The following is a 17074-nucleotide window of genomic DNA, read 5'->3' on the forward strand; positions in this document are numbered from 1 at the left end:
ATCATGCCTACTTGTTTTACCTACAATTTACTTCACAATACGCTCATTCCATTTCTGCCCAGCCAACTGCCTTATCCATTCATTCCTTTCCACTTCTATGACTACTAACCTCCCTTTGAATGCTGCAAAATGAAACTCCTCCAGGAACCCATTGGATGAATTATCTTCTATTTTACTCATCCCTTCTAGATTTGAAAACCCTATTATTATTAATCCTTATATCTTTGCAAGATATTCATAGTATATACTTTTGCACTTCTTAACTCGTTAGTTTTTTGAGGCAGGGTCTCACTCTGCCCAGGCTGGAGTACAGTGACTCGATCACAGTTCATCGCAGCTGGAACTCTCGGCTCAAGTTACAAGTTATCCTCCCACCTCAGCTTCCCAAGTAGCTGGGACTGCAGGCATGTGCCACCACACATGGCTATGTTTTAATTATTATTATTTTTTGTAGAGACAAGGTTTCACTACATTGCCCAAGCTGCTCTTGAACTCCTGGGCTCCAGCAATCTGCCTGCCTTGGCTTCCCAAAGTACTGGGATTATAGGCATGAGCCACCGTGCCCAGCCTTAACTCAATCCGTCACAGATCTTTCACAGCACTTAAAATGAGATGCTAAATTGTGTAATACTGATTACTCTTTCATACTGCCCACAGTGTTTTATGTATTTTTTAATCTTTATAACCTAAGTTTCCCAGTGGCAGGTAGGGATTGCTTGTATCCAGACAGATTTATGTTAGATATATGGGAGGCAGGTCAAACCATGCTTCATCTCCATAGTCTCTAATGATTGGTTCTACTCACCGGAATTCACGTGAGCTTAAGAATAGGCTGTCTTTTAATTTATAAGCCCCAATAGTGCCAAATATAGAGTTCAAGAGACAATGAACAATAAGTATTTGGATACACTTTTAGGTATTTCCTAAACTTTTATGCACTGTGAGCCTAACATGTTCACATCAAGCAAGAAATGAAAATAGGAGAGGGGTTATAAGTGACTAAGTTACTGTGTGTGTGTTGGGTCTCTATCAGCTGTATCCTCTTCCCTCTTCATACACGTGTTACATACTATATGTCAACCTATAGAAACAAGGCAGGAACTTAAGTATTAGGTCCTAGACTATGTGTTACATGCATTACCTTATTTAATAAACACAACTATATTATAAGGTTTTTTTTTATCTTAAACATTAAAATAAAAAACCCAAATGAGGTTAAAAAAAAAAAGCCCCAAATCATATAGCTAAGTCATGACAGAGCTAGAATTTAACCCAAGTCTAACTCCAGAGTCCGTAGTCAACTACCATGCAGTATATGACCCAGAGCAAGTCTTCCACTCTTGTGTGTGTTAAGGGGGGCTACTGAGAGAATATGGTAATGATTAATTTATATAAAATATTTAACACAGTATAGTATCTTACACATATTACCCAATAAGCTGTACTCACTCTCATTACAGTATACTATGACAGGGTTAAATGTCAATAAAACATGCTTTCTGCCCTTGAAAAATCTGATAAGATGTGGTGGGTAGCCTGCTAAAATAGCACTCCAGTGGCTCTAATTCAATGGCTCTTTACCCATGAAGACGATGAGATATCACACCCATCATTACATTGCATGCAAAAGTGATTTCCGAATCAGCTGACCTGGAATTACTCAAAAGGGAAATTATCGTGGTGGGCATTCCTCATTTAATCATATGAGCCCTTTAAAAGCAAAGCACTTTCTTCAATTGGGAGCAGCTGAAATAGTCAGAGATTTGAAGCATGAGGGAGGCTTGATGCACTGTTGCTGACTTTGAAGACCGAAGGGGCTACTAGCAAGGGCCGGAGCACAGTTTCTAGGAGCTAAGAGTGACCCCTAGCCAACAGCTAGTCCTACAAGCACAGGAACTGAGAGTGAAGTACCTAGTAGGGCATGGCAGGTTGGAGCTGGGTTGTAATGGTTTCTGTAAACTATGGAAGGGGATTTGAAATTTTTATTCTGCTCCATTGGAAGCATATTTTAAAAGAATTTTTTAAAACTAACTGAAAATACCTGAAGAATCTAACACACTATGTGTATGAGTATGTATGTATGTATGTTATATCTATAGTATTATATTTTATATACATAAAACACACATTTTAATATTTGAGGTAAGTGAATAATTCCTCTTACTACTATTCTCCCTGTTAATATAAAATTATAAAATTGCTACAACTAATTCAGTTAAATGTTTATTAAGATTAAGTTCTACAAAAATGCATCCATTCATAATTTTGAGTAGATAAACAAAATATAAAAATATTTTTAAGCAAGACACCAAAAAGTATTCATTTTCAACAAAACAATTTATTTTGATATCTTGAACCATCTGACATAATTATGTATATACAAGATCTTTTCAATCTACCTCTCCTTTAGTAGTTACATTAAGAGATTACCATGTCTCAAGAGCAAACTGCTGGAATTTAAAACACAATTTTCCATAAGATCTGGAATGATCTTTTCTAATTATTAAACGTGTCAGCATTAGTATTTTCTCCCATACTCAGATAAAGAAAAATGTTTGTTAAAATTTCTGTAACTTTTTTTGTTGTTAATTGAATGTAAAGGTAGTTTGTTTCTCTAAGCACATTGATTAGTAGGCCTCTCTCTGTAAAGTATTTTTTTAATTTTAAATATTTCTGATCACACTACAGATTTAGAAATAAAATGCTGAAATAATCCAACTGAGCCAGGATTGCTCATTTCTCTCCCCCACTCTGAGGCGCTCTGCAGGAATAAAGTACTGAGGGAGGTACATTAAAATAAGGAGACTCCTTGTGGCTAGTAGCGACTGAATATCCTACGTACCTAATTTACTGCAGTGGCTTAAGCTCTGGGGAAATTCTGGATCACTAAACTAAAAGTAAGGTTATGTCAATGGATTTTTAAAAGAGTATACTTTAAGAAGGATTATATGTAAACATTTTAATAATGTTAATTATACCATGGCTTATCAGAATGTTAGTCTTATAATAATTAGCACCAGCTACTTGGTATGTCTTTTTCTGATTAAACTGATTCCACCACACTGTCTACTTCAATCAGTCTAGTCTAGAGGAGCACTTAAAGAGAAAAAGTTAGAAAACGTCTTCATGAATCAGTTCTTTTAATGTACAGAAGTTTCAATTACATGACTTGGGCTCGCTTACCAAATACCTTTGGTACTTTAAAAAATGTATGTCCATGATATAATACTTTTTAATCCAAAAGTCTGACCCATATTAAAAAATAAAAATTATAAACAAAGCCAATTACACAAGCATGTCAGAAAATCAACACACCCTAATATATTTTCAAATGATGACTTGTCTTTTAAAAACCCAAAGGTAACATCTTTCCCAGAGTTAACTAAGAACATCTATGATCCAGAATATGCAGATTTCATTTAACTATTAATAGCAATGAAGCAGTTGCACACAAACATGTAAACATATGTAAACATTTAAAAATAGTGATGCCTTTGAAATGTAAGGGGAAAATGTCAACTTTACATTATAATTTAAGACTAACAGTGAAGATGGCTACTAGAATATAAATGGTCATCAGTTAAAGTTTAATTACTATTCAATAATTCACTCTTTAACAAGAAAATGAGTTTTGATAAATTCAGACCACAGGGACAGATATTTTTCTTGCAGAGCAGTTCTTGCTCATGGTGCAATGCAGTACTCTGTCCATGTAGTATAGTTGTGCCTCATTCGTGGTAACACAGGTGATTACATTCAAATGGCATTTAACATAAATTGCACCAAACTGCCCTATAATTTCATTTTGGACTGAATTAATTAACTTCTCAGTAGGGGGCTGAGGTGCTGAACATAAGCCTAAAGAAATACTTGACTGCTTAACCTACCTTACGTGAGGTATCTCTAATTCAAGACAGCTTCCATTTTTAATAAATAGTAGCAGGTAAAATGCATTTAGTAAGATCCCAAAGGGTAAAGATAAGGCATTTATAATAAATGGATTTAGTTTTCCACATATATTCACATCCATTTAAAAGAAGTCAGGGGGCACTGCAGACAGTTAAGGAGGATTTAACAAAACTCAGCAAGAGTTGGCACGCCTGATATTTTTGAAAGACTATTTACCTTAGGAGGTGTGCATTTAGAATTTTAAAAATGCCTTCTTTGCCCTTGCAAGATATTAAAATACAAAAGTTACCACTTAGTAGCAATTAAAAATAATACTATCTTAATGCTGACTACGTAATTTATATCCCAGAGCTTGAAATGTAAAGGTAATTGTCTAAGACATTATCTTTAGATCATCAGAATTATCATATCATAAAATATCTATTCTGTTTCCCCAATTATATTATCAAGAGCTGACAGCTAACTCTTTGTTTCAAGTTTATAGTCTTCATATATCAAGAAACAAATTAAAAGGACAAACAAGGAATGTGAAAGCTCATAAAAAGCTGAAGCAGCTTTCATATTACATGGCATATTTATTTGTCATAAACTTCTGGTTTAAGAAATGAGAAAACAAACAATTCTTTTGAAACACTCTTTGACACAGTGCTTAACTATTTTTAGATTTTTTTTTTAAACTGTAAAGGAAGGGAGGAAGGAGAGACAGAAGGAAAGTGGGAAAAGGGGATGAGACAGAGAGAGAGGACAGGGGGCCAGAGAAAGAAACAAAGACAAAAAGGAAGGAAGGAGGGAAGGAGGGAAGGAGAGACGGACAGAGGGAATGAAGGAAGGAAGGAAGGAAGGAAGGAAGGAAGGAAGGAAGGAAGGAAGGAAGGAAGGAAGGAAGGAAACCAACTCTGTATTATAACTACACTCCTTAGGTAAGGGGTAAATTAGCATTTCAGGAGCTGAAGACACCAGACCCATTTCAAAGACTTGTAACATACAGTAAGCTGGGCCCCCCAGAAAGAGACCGAATAATTTGGTGGGGAGGGGGTGGTGGTCCTTGCTCAGGCTTTTAAATGGTTCTAGGTAAAAAGGGCTTCAGTCCTGTTTCAAAGTTCTACTCTGAGGGCACAACTGCTAGGTAATTTCTGTATGAATACTTTCTTTTTCTTATACACCTTAAGTCCTTCCTGCTGTTATCTGCATGAGGAAAAATGACAAGAATATAATCTGGAAGTTTTAATACTGATTTGTAATAAAGGAAGGCATCAACTAGGAAAAAAAAAAGAATGCTTAGATGCCAGCTTCAAAACAATTTTCCCTGCAGCATCTTCTAGCTCAATAATTTAGTGGCAATGACAGTCACAAATGCTGTCAAAAACAGCAATGAAGTTTTAAAAAATAACCCAAAAATTCAAACAATAATATCCTTTAGATTTTTAATGTCATTTATTGAAATGGCAATCATAACAGAAACTTATGAGAGCCTTCTAGTTAGAAAAAATAAGTTTACTTTTTAAGGTTTCCATACATGTGATGATCTCTACATGCTATCAAGCAGGCATATAGTACTTTCTTCTCACCAAAAACTCTGTCTGTCCTGATGTTACCAGTCACAAGAAACCTTTTGTTATCATTACTCCCTCAAGATTCAATTCTTACTAGGAGTCCTGGGCAAACACAAAAGTGTCCTGGCAGTTACATCATTCTCTATAAATGGAAAAGACCCCGCTATCTGAAAATAATGAAAGGCTCCATTTAAATTAATGTGGTTTTTTGGTCAAGTGTTCATTTTGTTTTGTAATAATGTAGTTCTGATCCAAATAGAGTTCTTGCTAGCTTTAAAAAGATCTCAAGAGATTATACACAGGGCAGCAATTTAATTCTTAAATTTTTATTTCTTGCAATGACATTTAGGGTTCAGTGTGATTTGAGATTTTTAGTGCTGTTGCTGACACCTTATGGAAACTGTTTTATTTGGAAATTCTAATTAGATTTTTAAAACTGTTCTGCTCTTGTTTACAAAAAGCATTATTATAAAAAATGGATTTTTTGTTCCTTTAAGGTATTTTTCTGCTATTTATTCCTCACTTGACTTTATAATCCTGTTTGGGTCACTATGATTAGTTGCTATGGAAATTACCTCCTATGGAAATGATTCCAATGTCACTGTTGTAAGAATATGACATTTAATGAAAAATACCACTAGCAGACATCAACTCTTACTAGGAAAAGGAAATCTAATTAAAATTTTAAAAAAGAATTCTGAAAATTATTTACCATGGCCAACTTTTCTGATATTTTTGAATCTCTCATCTTCTTTTTAAATAAGTATTAAATGAATTTTAAGGTGTTGATCAGCTACTCACTTCCCTAAATTCCAAAGTCACAATGGAAATTAGCACCACACACAGAAAATTGAATGTAAAGAGCATTTCATCTACCATTTCTCTAAACTAGTAAGTGTTATGCTTCATTTATGAAAGTTAATGTCAACAGTATTTCAGGGCTCATCAAGGAAACAAGTTTGAATAGCACATTACAAATTCCCTTTAAAGATGAAGAATTTAATATTCTAAAATTTATCCCAGGAATTTAAAAGGTCAGGCCTATAAACTAGTGAGTTAAACAATAGATGAGAGCCAGTGAACCATTAGATGAGAATTCCAGAATGCTAAGAAAATTTTCTTGGGTGGATTCTATAATTTGTGGTTTGAATAAAACCTTTGAAACATTCCATTAGTATTAAAATTCTCACAATGAGAATATGGTTCATATTTAACACATTTTAAATTACTAGACAGTCTCTCCCCAAAAGAAATTTTAATGCTTTATTCTGCCTAGGGCTTATTCACTGCCTGGTACTAATTCAGGAATAAATTAACCCTTCCAACAATTAGGATATTGTCTAGAAACTGCCTCTTGCACACTGCTGGAGAAATCACTTACATTCTGCAAATCAGGAGTAAAAGAGAAATCCACTTCTTCATTATAAAATGTTTTTCTATACCTAATAGCTTATTAATTATTGGTATAAATCACTATATTTACCTATATAATTACACATTATTCTATAATGCCTCTGAATTAAGCTTCACAGTTATAGATTTTGTTAAATGTTTTATCATTAAGAGTTTTCTATACTTGTGCCTGCAGCCATGATCTAGGGTCCAGAATGTCTTTGATGGATTTCTGCCTTGGAGCTGGCACTGGCTTGGCTTCAAAATTGGTTTTAGTGTCTGTGTGCTCACCATCACTTAATCTATTTCTCCTGGCAGGCAGAAGTTTTCGAGGAGCAGCCATTGGTTTCTGTAAGTGATGCATTAGAGTTGATAGTTTGGTATCCAAAGACGATGTCTGAGATACACTTGTTTTTCCCCAGTTGTCCTTAACCAATTGATCTGTGTTACTCTGTGATTTTAAGCTGAATGGAAGTTTATCAGAAGGAGGAAGGGGAGCTTGTCTCTTTTTCCCTTTTTCATCATGTAATGGCTCACTTGCAGGATACAGTACCTTTTTCTGGATGACCATTTGATGGTTACCATCAAAGAGTGTGGCCCAAGGAGGTGGTAAGGATTCTTCATGCTGACCAATAAGGAACTGCCCATTTGTCTCTTCAATTTTTTTTTGTATTATATCCGTTAAACTTTCAAGTTTCATAGGTGAATCAATGCCTATAATAATTTTAAGAAAAAAAAACATGAAAAAATTCAAAAGCAGTATGTACTTTATCTAAATAAGTTCTTTTCCAAACTAGTATGCTATATACAATGGTCATCAAAGACTATGATAAGGAAAACGTTCACTTGTAAAAATAACCACACCATCAGAACTAAAAAGATCATGCGCTGCACTAATCATACATTATATATGTAAACATACACATAATACATAGTATATAAAACATATATAACATACATATAATTTACATAATACATACACATGTATAAATATATTCCTATATAAATTAGCAAAATCCATCTTTCAAAGAAGTGGAGTTATATGAGTTTTCTAAAAAATTCTATAGATTAAGTATTTATGAGATAACATTTCCTGGATTTAAAACCTTATTCTGACTGCTAGGTAAGAGATTTCCTTTTTTACAAAAGCTAGATATATATTAGGATGACTGCATTTGGATGAGTATTCTTTCCTGTAGACCAGCAAAGTCTCTGTTAAAAGGGAAAATGCTTAAAACCAAAAACCCAGGAAAACAGAGTAAAGCCCTCATACCACTTTGGTAATAAGGGTGGTGGGTGAAACTTTCCTTGGCAAAAATAAAAGAACAGAGATAAATCTCTATTAAATAAATTACTGGTATTTTAAAATGTGTGAACCCAAATGTATCATTTTTAACCTGACATTTTAAAGTGAATGTAAGTACAGGTACATTAGTGGCAAATTAAACAGAATTTAGACTGACTTGCACTTGTTCACAACATTATTTACTGAGGCAACAGCACAAAAATAAACACCCTTCAAGGTGTGGGAAATTGAATATTAGTGGGTCTAGAAATTTAAAATTTTCCAAAGTATTAAACTTAACCAATTTCTTTTTTCTGGCTAGAGATGAAAGCTTCCATTCATTAGTATGCATCTATCAACACTACTTGGAAACAAATTTAATAAAATACAGAAAAAAAATTACTGAACATGATTACATTTTAGAATGTGCAAATGTTTATTTTCAGAATTTTCATCAGCTACTCAGCTAATATTTATTTTCAGTGCACCTTTACTCATTTTAAGCCTTAAATTTTTTGTCTGATCTTAAGCATTCAGACTATGAAAAAACGTGTATTCATTATTTTGTATTAATTCATCTATTAAACATGAGTTCCTTAGTCTATAATCAGTCTTTTTTCATTTATTTTGATTGTGCCCTGAAAATTTTAGCATTTTAATGTCAATAGAATAAGCTGCTTCAGTATGGACAATGTTGTTTTTGTTATCCTGCAGCTTAGAAAAGACAAACCCCACTTACTCATATCATGGTAGACTGAGGTTGCCTCTTTTGTCAAGAACAAAGGTGGTTTCCGTGGTGACATAATCTCAATTTTCATAAGTTCTTCACAACAGTGCTTCCATTGGCCTAAGACAGACAGAAAAAAGGTAGACTAGTTTAAAACATAAATGTGAAGATATATATTTCATTTTTAATAGATAGCAATACATTTTTGCTTTGAATAAAAATCAGTGAATTTATACATAAAGCACTGCGTTAAGGGAGGCTTGCAGAAAAACCTAATACTATCCATAATTTCAAAGTCCAGTTCTGAACATAAAAGTAATCTATTTAAAAAATAAAGTTTGGCCGGGCACGGTGGCTCATGCCTGTAATCCCAGCAAGTTGGAAGGCCTAGGTGGGCAGATCACCTGAGGTCAGGAGTCTTGACCAGCCTGGCCAACATGGGGAAACCCCTTCTCTACTAAAAATACAAAAATTAGCTGGGTATGGTGGCAGGTGGCTGTAGTCCCCGCTACTTGGGAGGCTGAGGCAGGAGGATCACTTGAACTTGGGAGGCAGAGGTTACAATGAGCCGAGATTGCACCACTGCACTCCAGACTGGGCAACAGAGAGAGACTCCGTCTCAAAAAAAAAAAAAAAAAAAAAAAAGAAAAAAGAAAAAGAAGTACTTCTATGCAAAGACATTAGGCTAAAATCTCTAGGCTATTAAATACTATCCTATTTCACTAAATGGTTAATAACTACTTTAAAATTTCTATTTATTGCAAAAGTTTGGGAAGGGTTTTCTTCTTTTGAATAGTAAACATTAAGTATTCAAGATGTTGAAAGGTTAAACAATCAACTGAAATATAGTTACCTAGAAGGAAATAGAAAAAAACATAAAGGAGTGAGGTTTTCAAAAATGGTTTTAACTATGAAAATTTTGATTAAGAAATAAAAATTATTTATTTAACAACTGTCCCTTTAAGATGATTATCATGCTTTTCAAAATCATTTAACTCTAGAAAAACACTGTATTTTCTTTTAGGTTTTAAAAGGTATATAAAAACCTATTATTATAAAGTCATATCACCCAATAAAATTCTGAGTCTAATTTGTTTTAGGAAGGACACATTAAATAAAGGCATTTGGAATAAGAAAAAAATAGTCTTGAATAAAATCTTTCAACTATTAAGTTAAAATTTGAGTGTGGACATTAATTTTTATTTTAATTATGTTTCACACTATTTTAATCTTAAATTTTTTAGATTTCTCCTGAGTGATGTCTAAAAATTTAATCTTTTCATACTTATTGTGCACCTGCATGCTGGATAGCAACTATGCTAGTTCCTACGTATCTGTATATTAATTTTATAAGAGTTAGTTACTGAGGTTCACCTTCTTATAGCCTATCTTATACCAATAGAAAAGTAAATGTAATACACTTATGTTGTATATCCGTATTTCATACCCAACTTGATTATTTTCTGTGACTTAAAAACTAAGGACACTTCATGTTTAGTAAAATTACTCATTTTTGTTGTTTGTAGTTGAATATACTCTCATAGTAATATGATAATATATGCATAAATTAAAAATCCACCACCATTAGTTAAGAAACATAAAAAAAGCCTTTCAGTATGTTTTATTATGATGCTAAGCACAGAATATGATAAAAATTTCAAAATAAGCCACACAGCAACTGATAAAGGGAATAAATTCTTGAGTACAAGGCTTCAAAGGTTGATCTCTAGAATGTACATCTAGTAGGATCTGAGATCTGATAACTTATTCCTCCCCACACTTCCTTTTATAGATAAATATATAAGAGCCAGTTTTTTTCTTCTTAGGGGCAGGAAAAAAACCCATATCTAATGGAAAAATAATGAAACACTTCAAACTGGCACACTTTTCTGTCACATTCTTAGAAAAACTATTATAAAGTACAGTATTTCCTCTATATCGATAAATGAAAGCATTTCATTGTTAAACTAGTAGCAGAATATGAGTTACAATGAAAACTGGAATATAATGCCACATTATTTCACGTGTTACTAAAGTCAGAGGTATAAACGTGTTCATGGGTCAAGACTTTACGACTGAAACATTTATTTTGCCAGCAAATAAATCTCTATGCATAGCTATACATGATAGCCAATATGCTAACATGAAAACAAGGGCGCAATATGAAATATTAAATGGGTATGTTTTGTTCACATAACAATTTATATATTGAAGATGTTTCCTAAAATACCATTTACTGTTATAGTGTTCCCAGTCAAAATAATTTTTTATGCTAAGCTCCTAATGTAACTCAATATTTATATTGTTAAATATTTTTTAAAAATTTAATGTTCCAAATCTACCTTAATTTTCTCTATCTTTGACCTACCATTCTCTGCTCCACTCCTATTGACCATCCAGAACATGGGTCACTCCTCTTTTACATGACTGTTAACTCACAAATGTTAAAAATAGCTATTACATCCCCCTTGCCCACCAACATCCACCCGAGGCTATTCTTCCCTGGGCTAAACAGATCTACTTCCGTAAGTGTTTCCTCCTGAGTTCTAATTATCTCACCTTCCTGGTTTTCTATTCTTAAATAGAGTCAAATAATTGAAATTTGCTCTCAATATTAAATTTCTCTTACTTTATTCTGCCCTGAATACCTATCCTGTACTTTGTTCTACATACCATACTTCAACCAGGATCACAAGAGGTTGCACCTGTCACTAGGAAAGTTAAAATTTTAAAGTACAAGTCAAATTTTTAGTATGGTATAAATACCTCCATCTTTGCTTCATATATCCATACACAATGAATTCTGAATTTTGAAGTATAAATGTAATAGAATTTGTACTTTAAAAATTACATAGGTTGGCAGTTTTTATGCAAAAAAGCATTAAATACCAAAAATGTAACCAGACCCGAGAACCAAGTTGTCATCACTTCCTTATTATGTTGACAGTACAAAAATGTCATGAGGTTCTTATTCTTTCAAATCTCCATTTCAGCATGATAAATTATTTCACATAATCTAGAGAATGAAAGCATGAGATGATCATCTAATAGTAGTTGATATCTAGACTACAAGATTCTGGTATTATCACCTTCATTTACCTCTCCTCCTGTTTTTATGCACATAACAATTATACAATAGCTGGGTGCGGTGGCTCACACCTGTAATCCCAGCACTTTGGGGGGCTGAGGTGGGCGGATCACCTGAGGTCTGGAGTTTGAGACCAGCCTGACCAACATGGAGAAATCCCGTCTCTACTAAAAATACAATATTAGTTGGGCGTGGTGGCACATGCCTGTAATCCCAGCTACTAGGGAGACTGAGGCAGGAGAATCACTTGAACCCGGGAGGCAGAGGTTGCGGTGAGCCAAGATTGCGCCATTGCACTCCAGCCTGGGCAAGAAGAGCGAAACTCCATCTCAAAAAATAAAAATAAAAATAAAACAAATAAAAATACCAAAATCATTTCTAAAAATAAGATAGTCATTTATAAGACGGATTCTCTAAGACAGAACATTTAGTAAAATGGTTAAAGTTTTAGCTATGATTAGCAAAAGCAAGGAAGTTCTTGTCTTTTAAGTTATACACCTGAGATCTGCTGAATTTTTTTTTTTTTTTTTTAAAGACAAGAGTCTTGCTCTATCGCCCAGGTTGGAGTATACAGGTGAGATCTTGGCTCACTGCAACCTCCACCTCCTGGCTTCAAGCAATTCTCCTGCCTCAGCCTCCCAAGTAGCTGGGACTACAGGCACGTGCCATCACGCCTGGCTAATTTTTGTATTTTTAGTAGATACGGGGTTTTACCATGTTGGTCAGGCTGGTCTCAAACTCCTGACTTCAGGTGATCCGCCTGCCTCGGCCTCCCAGAGTGCTGGGATTACAGGCGTGAGCCACCGTGCCTGGCCTGAAAATTTTAACTAAATAAATGTGGTACACGCTGATAAGCATGAAATGAATATTTGAACATTTATTGAGTGTCTAGGGATGATACTTAAGGAAAACAAGTCCTAAACAATACAAGAAGGCCATGGAGGGAACCCTCTAGTTCGATGCTGTGAAACAGAAACCTCTTCAGGCCTAAGTTTTCTCATCTTCAGAGCAAAGGGAAATAATTTCTACCTCGCAGGAGTGTTATGAGAAATAAATGAAATAATCTGTTATACGGGAAATAATCCATAAATTTAGATCCCTTTCTTGCCTCTTACCCAACTTCTAACTTGAGGGCTGCAAGTATTAACTCTTCCTCATAGTGCTCCAGAAAACAGAATTCCTAAAATGTCTGTCCCTAGGATTATTTCCATGAGTTGCAGAAATAATTTTCCTTTTTTGGAAATGTCTCAACTTTCTATGGAATAGGATTCAGTAGACAAAATACTGGTAGTATCTATCAGTAGGCTTTGTTTGATCAGAAACAGACATTATCAACATTCTACATTTTCAATATAATGATAATATGCTGTTTGACTTATTGTCAGTAAACACAAAGAACTGTTACGATTTCAGTATTTTCCTGTTGATAAAATTCCTCGAGAAATATTAGAACCTCATATATTTTATACACTAGAGCCCTATTACATTACCATACATTGTTTTTATGTCCATGTCATTGGACTGTATTATTGAGATGAGAAAATCCTATGTGTGTGGTTTAAAAAGAAACCTGTCTGGATGATGTCCAAGAAGATGATAACGAATCTGGAGTTAAGGGAAGGCTACAAAGTGAGACTCCTGAATGTTTCAATATTTTAGGATCATCATTATCCTGGAAAAGTTTTTTGTTCCTCAAATGGCTTCTTATCCCTTGGATCAAACACATTGCCTTCAACAGTTAAATCCTAACATTTTGAGAGAATATGGTCTGGTTGTTTTAGTGACCAGAGGGAGCTTCAAAAAGTAGGAGGTAGAGATGCTAGAATCCAAACGTATACTATACAATAGTCAGGCACTGGAAAGAGATTGACAGAAAGAAGCATCAGTGCATTGATGATATACTACCATTCTTTCAAGAACATAAAAAATTTTTGCTACAAACTCTAAGATTACAATTTTAAGATTGCTGTGCACATCCTTTTAGGCTACATAAATACACAACTAAAAAAATCCAAATATCTATTTACTAAGATCAAAGAAATGCTGCCAGAAGGCTTCCATCCACTTCTGAAGATCTTCTCTATTGTCAACTGCAAAAATCTGAGTTATAGCTTGTCCAGGAACAGGATTGATGACAGAGAAATTATGGATTCTTTTCTTGGCATCCTTATCCATTGCCCGGATTCTGGTTTCCTAAAAATTAAGAAAAAAATTGGGGTTTTGCATGAGAAAATTTCTGTAATGATCAAACAAATGTTTTATTGCTTAGCTACCATATTTATACCTGATGTAACCATAATCTTATTGCTGATCATTTGAAATTTAAAACATGTAATTTTGAGAATTTTTTATATTCAAACTCCAATCTAGGTTTTTAAAAAAGAATGCTTTATATAAAATACTGAATAATGTCTTAAATTATGCTATATATAGCACTTATGCTAAATTACATGAGATTAAAACATAACCCCTGTTTTGATCCATCTCAGTTTAAGTGGAAGTTTACTGTCTTTTATATACATCTTAAAATTTCCAATAAAACAAGTACAGCATGTCATAGCTGTAATGTGGATTACATGTTAACCATATTTCAAATTAATAAAACAGAAGAATCAGTAAAGTATCTTTCTTATTCTAATATTCATGCATAATATCTAGTGCTATCAGTTAAAGCAGTAAAACCGTAACTTAGTGTTTACTGTAGCAAAACAGGTTTTCCTCATTAACATTTATTTTGTACGTAACGTTCATTTACAAAGTTCATAGCTAAAGATCCATAAAATAATATAATCTTTAAAATGTTTAAATTATTTTTAAAGTGCTAAGTACAACACTACCACAAGGACAATGGTTTCATTCACGCTGATAGTCTAAACCTTTTTTCTGAGTGATACTAGAATGCTATTATGATGACACTTATTGATTCTATACTTAGAAGATTCTGAGAAGTCTATTCCCAAGTCACACACAGGCACAGCCATGCCACATGGTAAGCTGGCAACTACATGTGGCTTTGACCAAGGAATATTGGGGGATAAAGTCTGTACTAGAACTATCTATTACACAAAGATAGAGATTTGATGCCTAGATAATGACTCACTTACACTATTCTAGGGCAATGCTGTCCAGTATAAGTACAATGTGAGCCACATATGTAATTGAAAATTTTCTAAAAACCACAATAAGTAAAAAGAAACTCCTGAAATTAATTTAACGATGTATTTCATGTAACTCAGCATATCTGAAATATGTTGAAGGCTTTCATACTAAGCCTTCAAAATCCAGTTTGTATTTTACACTTACAGCACATCTCGATCTGGACCAGCCATATTGTAAGTGTCTAACAGTCACTCCAGGATAGTGGCTACTGCACTGTACATAGTGGTTCAAGAGAATCATGGTTAAGCCTACTGTAATGTGTGACAATAATATTTTGGCTGGTAGTAATAAAGGCTGATTAAGAATAGAAAGAAATTCTTCACTGAGTAAAGTGTGAAGAGAGGCTATACAGTCACACACCAAAACCCACATATACATACAATATGGATATTATGTAGTCATTACAGAAGTAGCAGGGTTAGGAAGAAAAGCTATCCATTCCCTGAAAAATGGATAAATACAGGCAGGTGAACACCATATATACTACACAAGGAATTCCCTTCTGAAGGAATAAATTCTTATTCAAACACCGCAGGGGAAAAATGTATGTTGTATAAAGCAGCAACATAACTTTGAACCTTTAGAGTATCACAAAATATAACAATCATTAACCATCTTAGAGACAGTCTATCCTGTCACAGTAGAAATCTAGGAATGTGAGTGTCTTTAGAGGACTGTAATCTTAATTTTATCATAATAGAGTATAAAATTATACATTATATATGTTACTTTTGACTATACGCCCAGTATCTTAATTTTATCATAATAGAGTCTTTTTACACTTCTATGTCTTGGTAATAAACTTTGTGAATTAGTTCTTTTAAGTAATTATTTTTATTATGTAACAAATTTTGCCCTAAATGGTATCCTTGGAGCTCAACGATGCACCTAATCATCCACTGTAAATATAAAGCTTATAATCACAAGCAGAGAATGACTTAAGCTCTAGGAAGAATCTTTGATATGCTACTCTTATCAGACTAATTGAAGGTTAAATCATAGTAGGGGAAAAACCCTCTATTGTGTTACAAAATAAAATAAAATAAAAAGTATTCTTGTTACTGAAATTGTGCTTCCCTCCACCAATTCCATTTTAATAAACATTTCTGACTACTTTTTGTATAAAGGATTAAAGTGGATTCAATCTTTAAATAAGGGAAATTTGATTTTTATAGATGAATTTGGATATTTTTACCAAGGTATCATTTCATATGAAACCACTACATAGAAAATCTGATGAACTCAATCATTTATATCCTTCTAAGAGAATATAATGCAAAAATATATAAATACTACTGTATATACTCCATTAATTCTGGTAGCCATAAATATCACTACATTTTTAAAACATCAGAGGTTTCTGAAAGGTGCAAATGAAATGCAGAATTTGAATTAACTTCTATATGTTATCATCCAAAATAATTTAATGGAAAACTTTTAATCAAAAAAATGCGTGTTGAAGAAAAAGTGATTAATACAAGTAAAGTTTCTTAGAGTGTCAGAAAGTTCATGCAAGCTGTTTTTTCACTGTGGAAAAATATCAACAATAGTTCTCACGTCTTCAATTCTCAAAAAAGGAAGTGATTAGAAAACACTAAGGTGAATTTTAGGACTGTTATTTATGGGCTTATGTGTTTATATAAGTGACTCCTCTTAGGGTATGAAAACAAGGAACTTGGTAATTCCCTGCCTCCCCCCCATATTTCTGCCACCTAAAATATTGCCTAGTACTCAGTAAATGGCTAAAAAATATTTAAAGAATAAACAAATGAAACAGGAAAAGAACAACTCAAATAATGATTAAAAAGTTTTGTATTGATAGACCCAGATCCTAGAAATAATCTCCAATCCAATTCTTTATGAGGAAACATGTTCTGTGAGAATTATTCTATTAAGCCCAGCGTTTCCTGTATTGTTTTTGCTAATCTCAAAACTTCAATTACCTAGGAGGTTTTATAGTC

The 17074-nt window shown here is 33.6% G+C and overlaps 1 protein-coding gene across 7 annotated transcripts in view; it reads right to left on the bottom strand.

Annotated features, from left to right (window-relative positions):
* Positions 1–17074, bottom strand: part of RTKN2 (rhotekin 2) — an 84945-nt gene that overhangs the window by 6976 nt on the left and 60895 nt on the right. For 4 of the 7 annotated variants that reach the window (XM_017015844.3, XM_011539457.4, XM_047424717.1 and 1 more), the window contains 3 exons: positions 13982–14147; positions 8879–8986; positions 7408–7568 (listed from right to left, as the gene is read on the bottom strand). In XM_017015844.3, coding sequence (XP_016871333.1) covers positions 7408–7568; positions 8879–8986; positions 13982–14147 — 435 coding nt within the window. Of the gene's footprint in view, positions 1–2210; positions 7569–8878; positions 8987–13981; positions 14148–17074 lie in introns of those variants that run through there. The other 3 variants (NM_145307.4, XM_011539456.3, XR_945618.3) reach the window with 2 other exon arrangements.

Source organism: Homo sapiens, chromosome 10 (genome assembly GCF_000001405.40).
Source record: "Homo sapiens chromosome 10, GRCh38.p14 Primary Assembly".
Classification (NCBI taxonomy): Eukaryota; Metazoa; Chordata; class Mammalia; order Primates; family Hominidae; genus Homo; species Homo sapiens.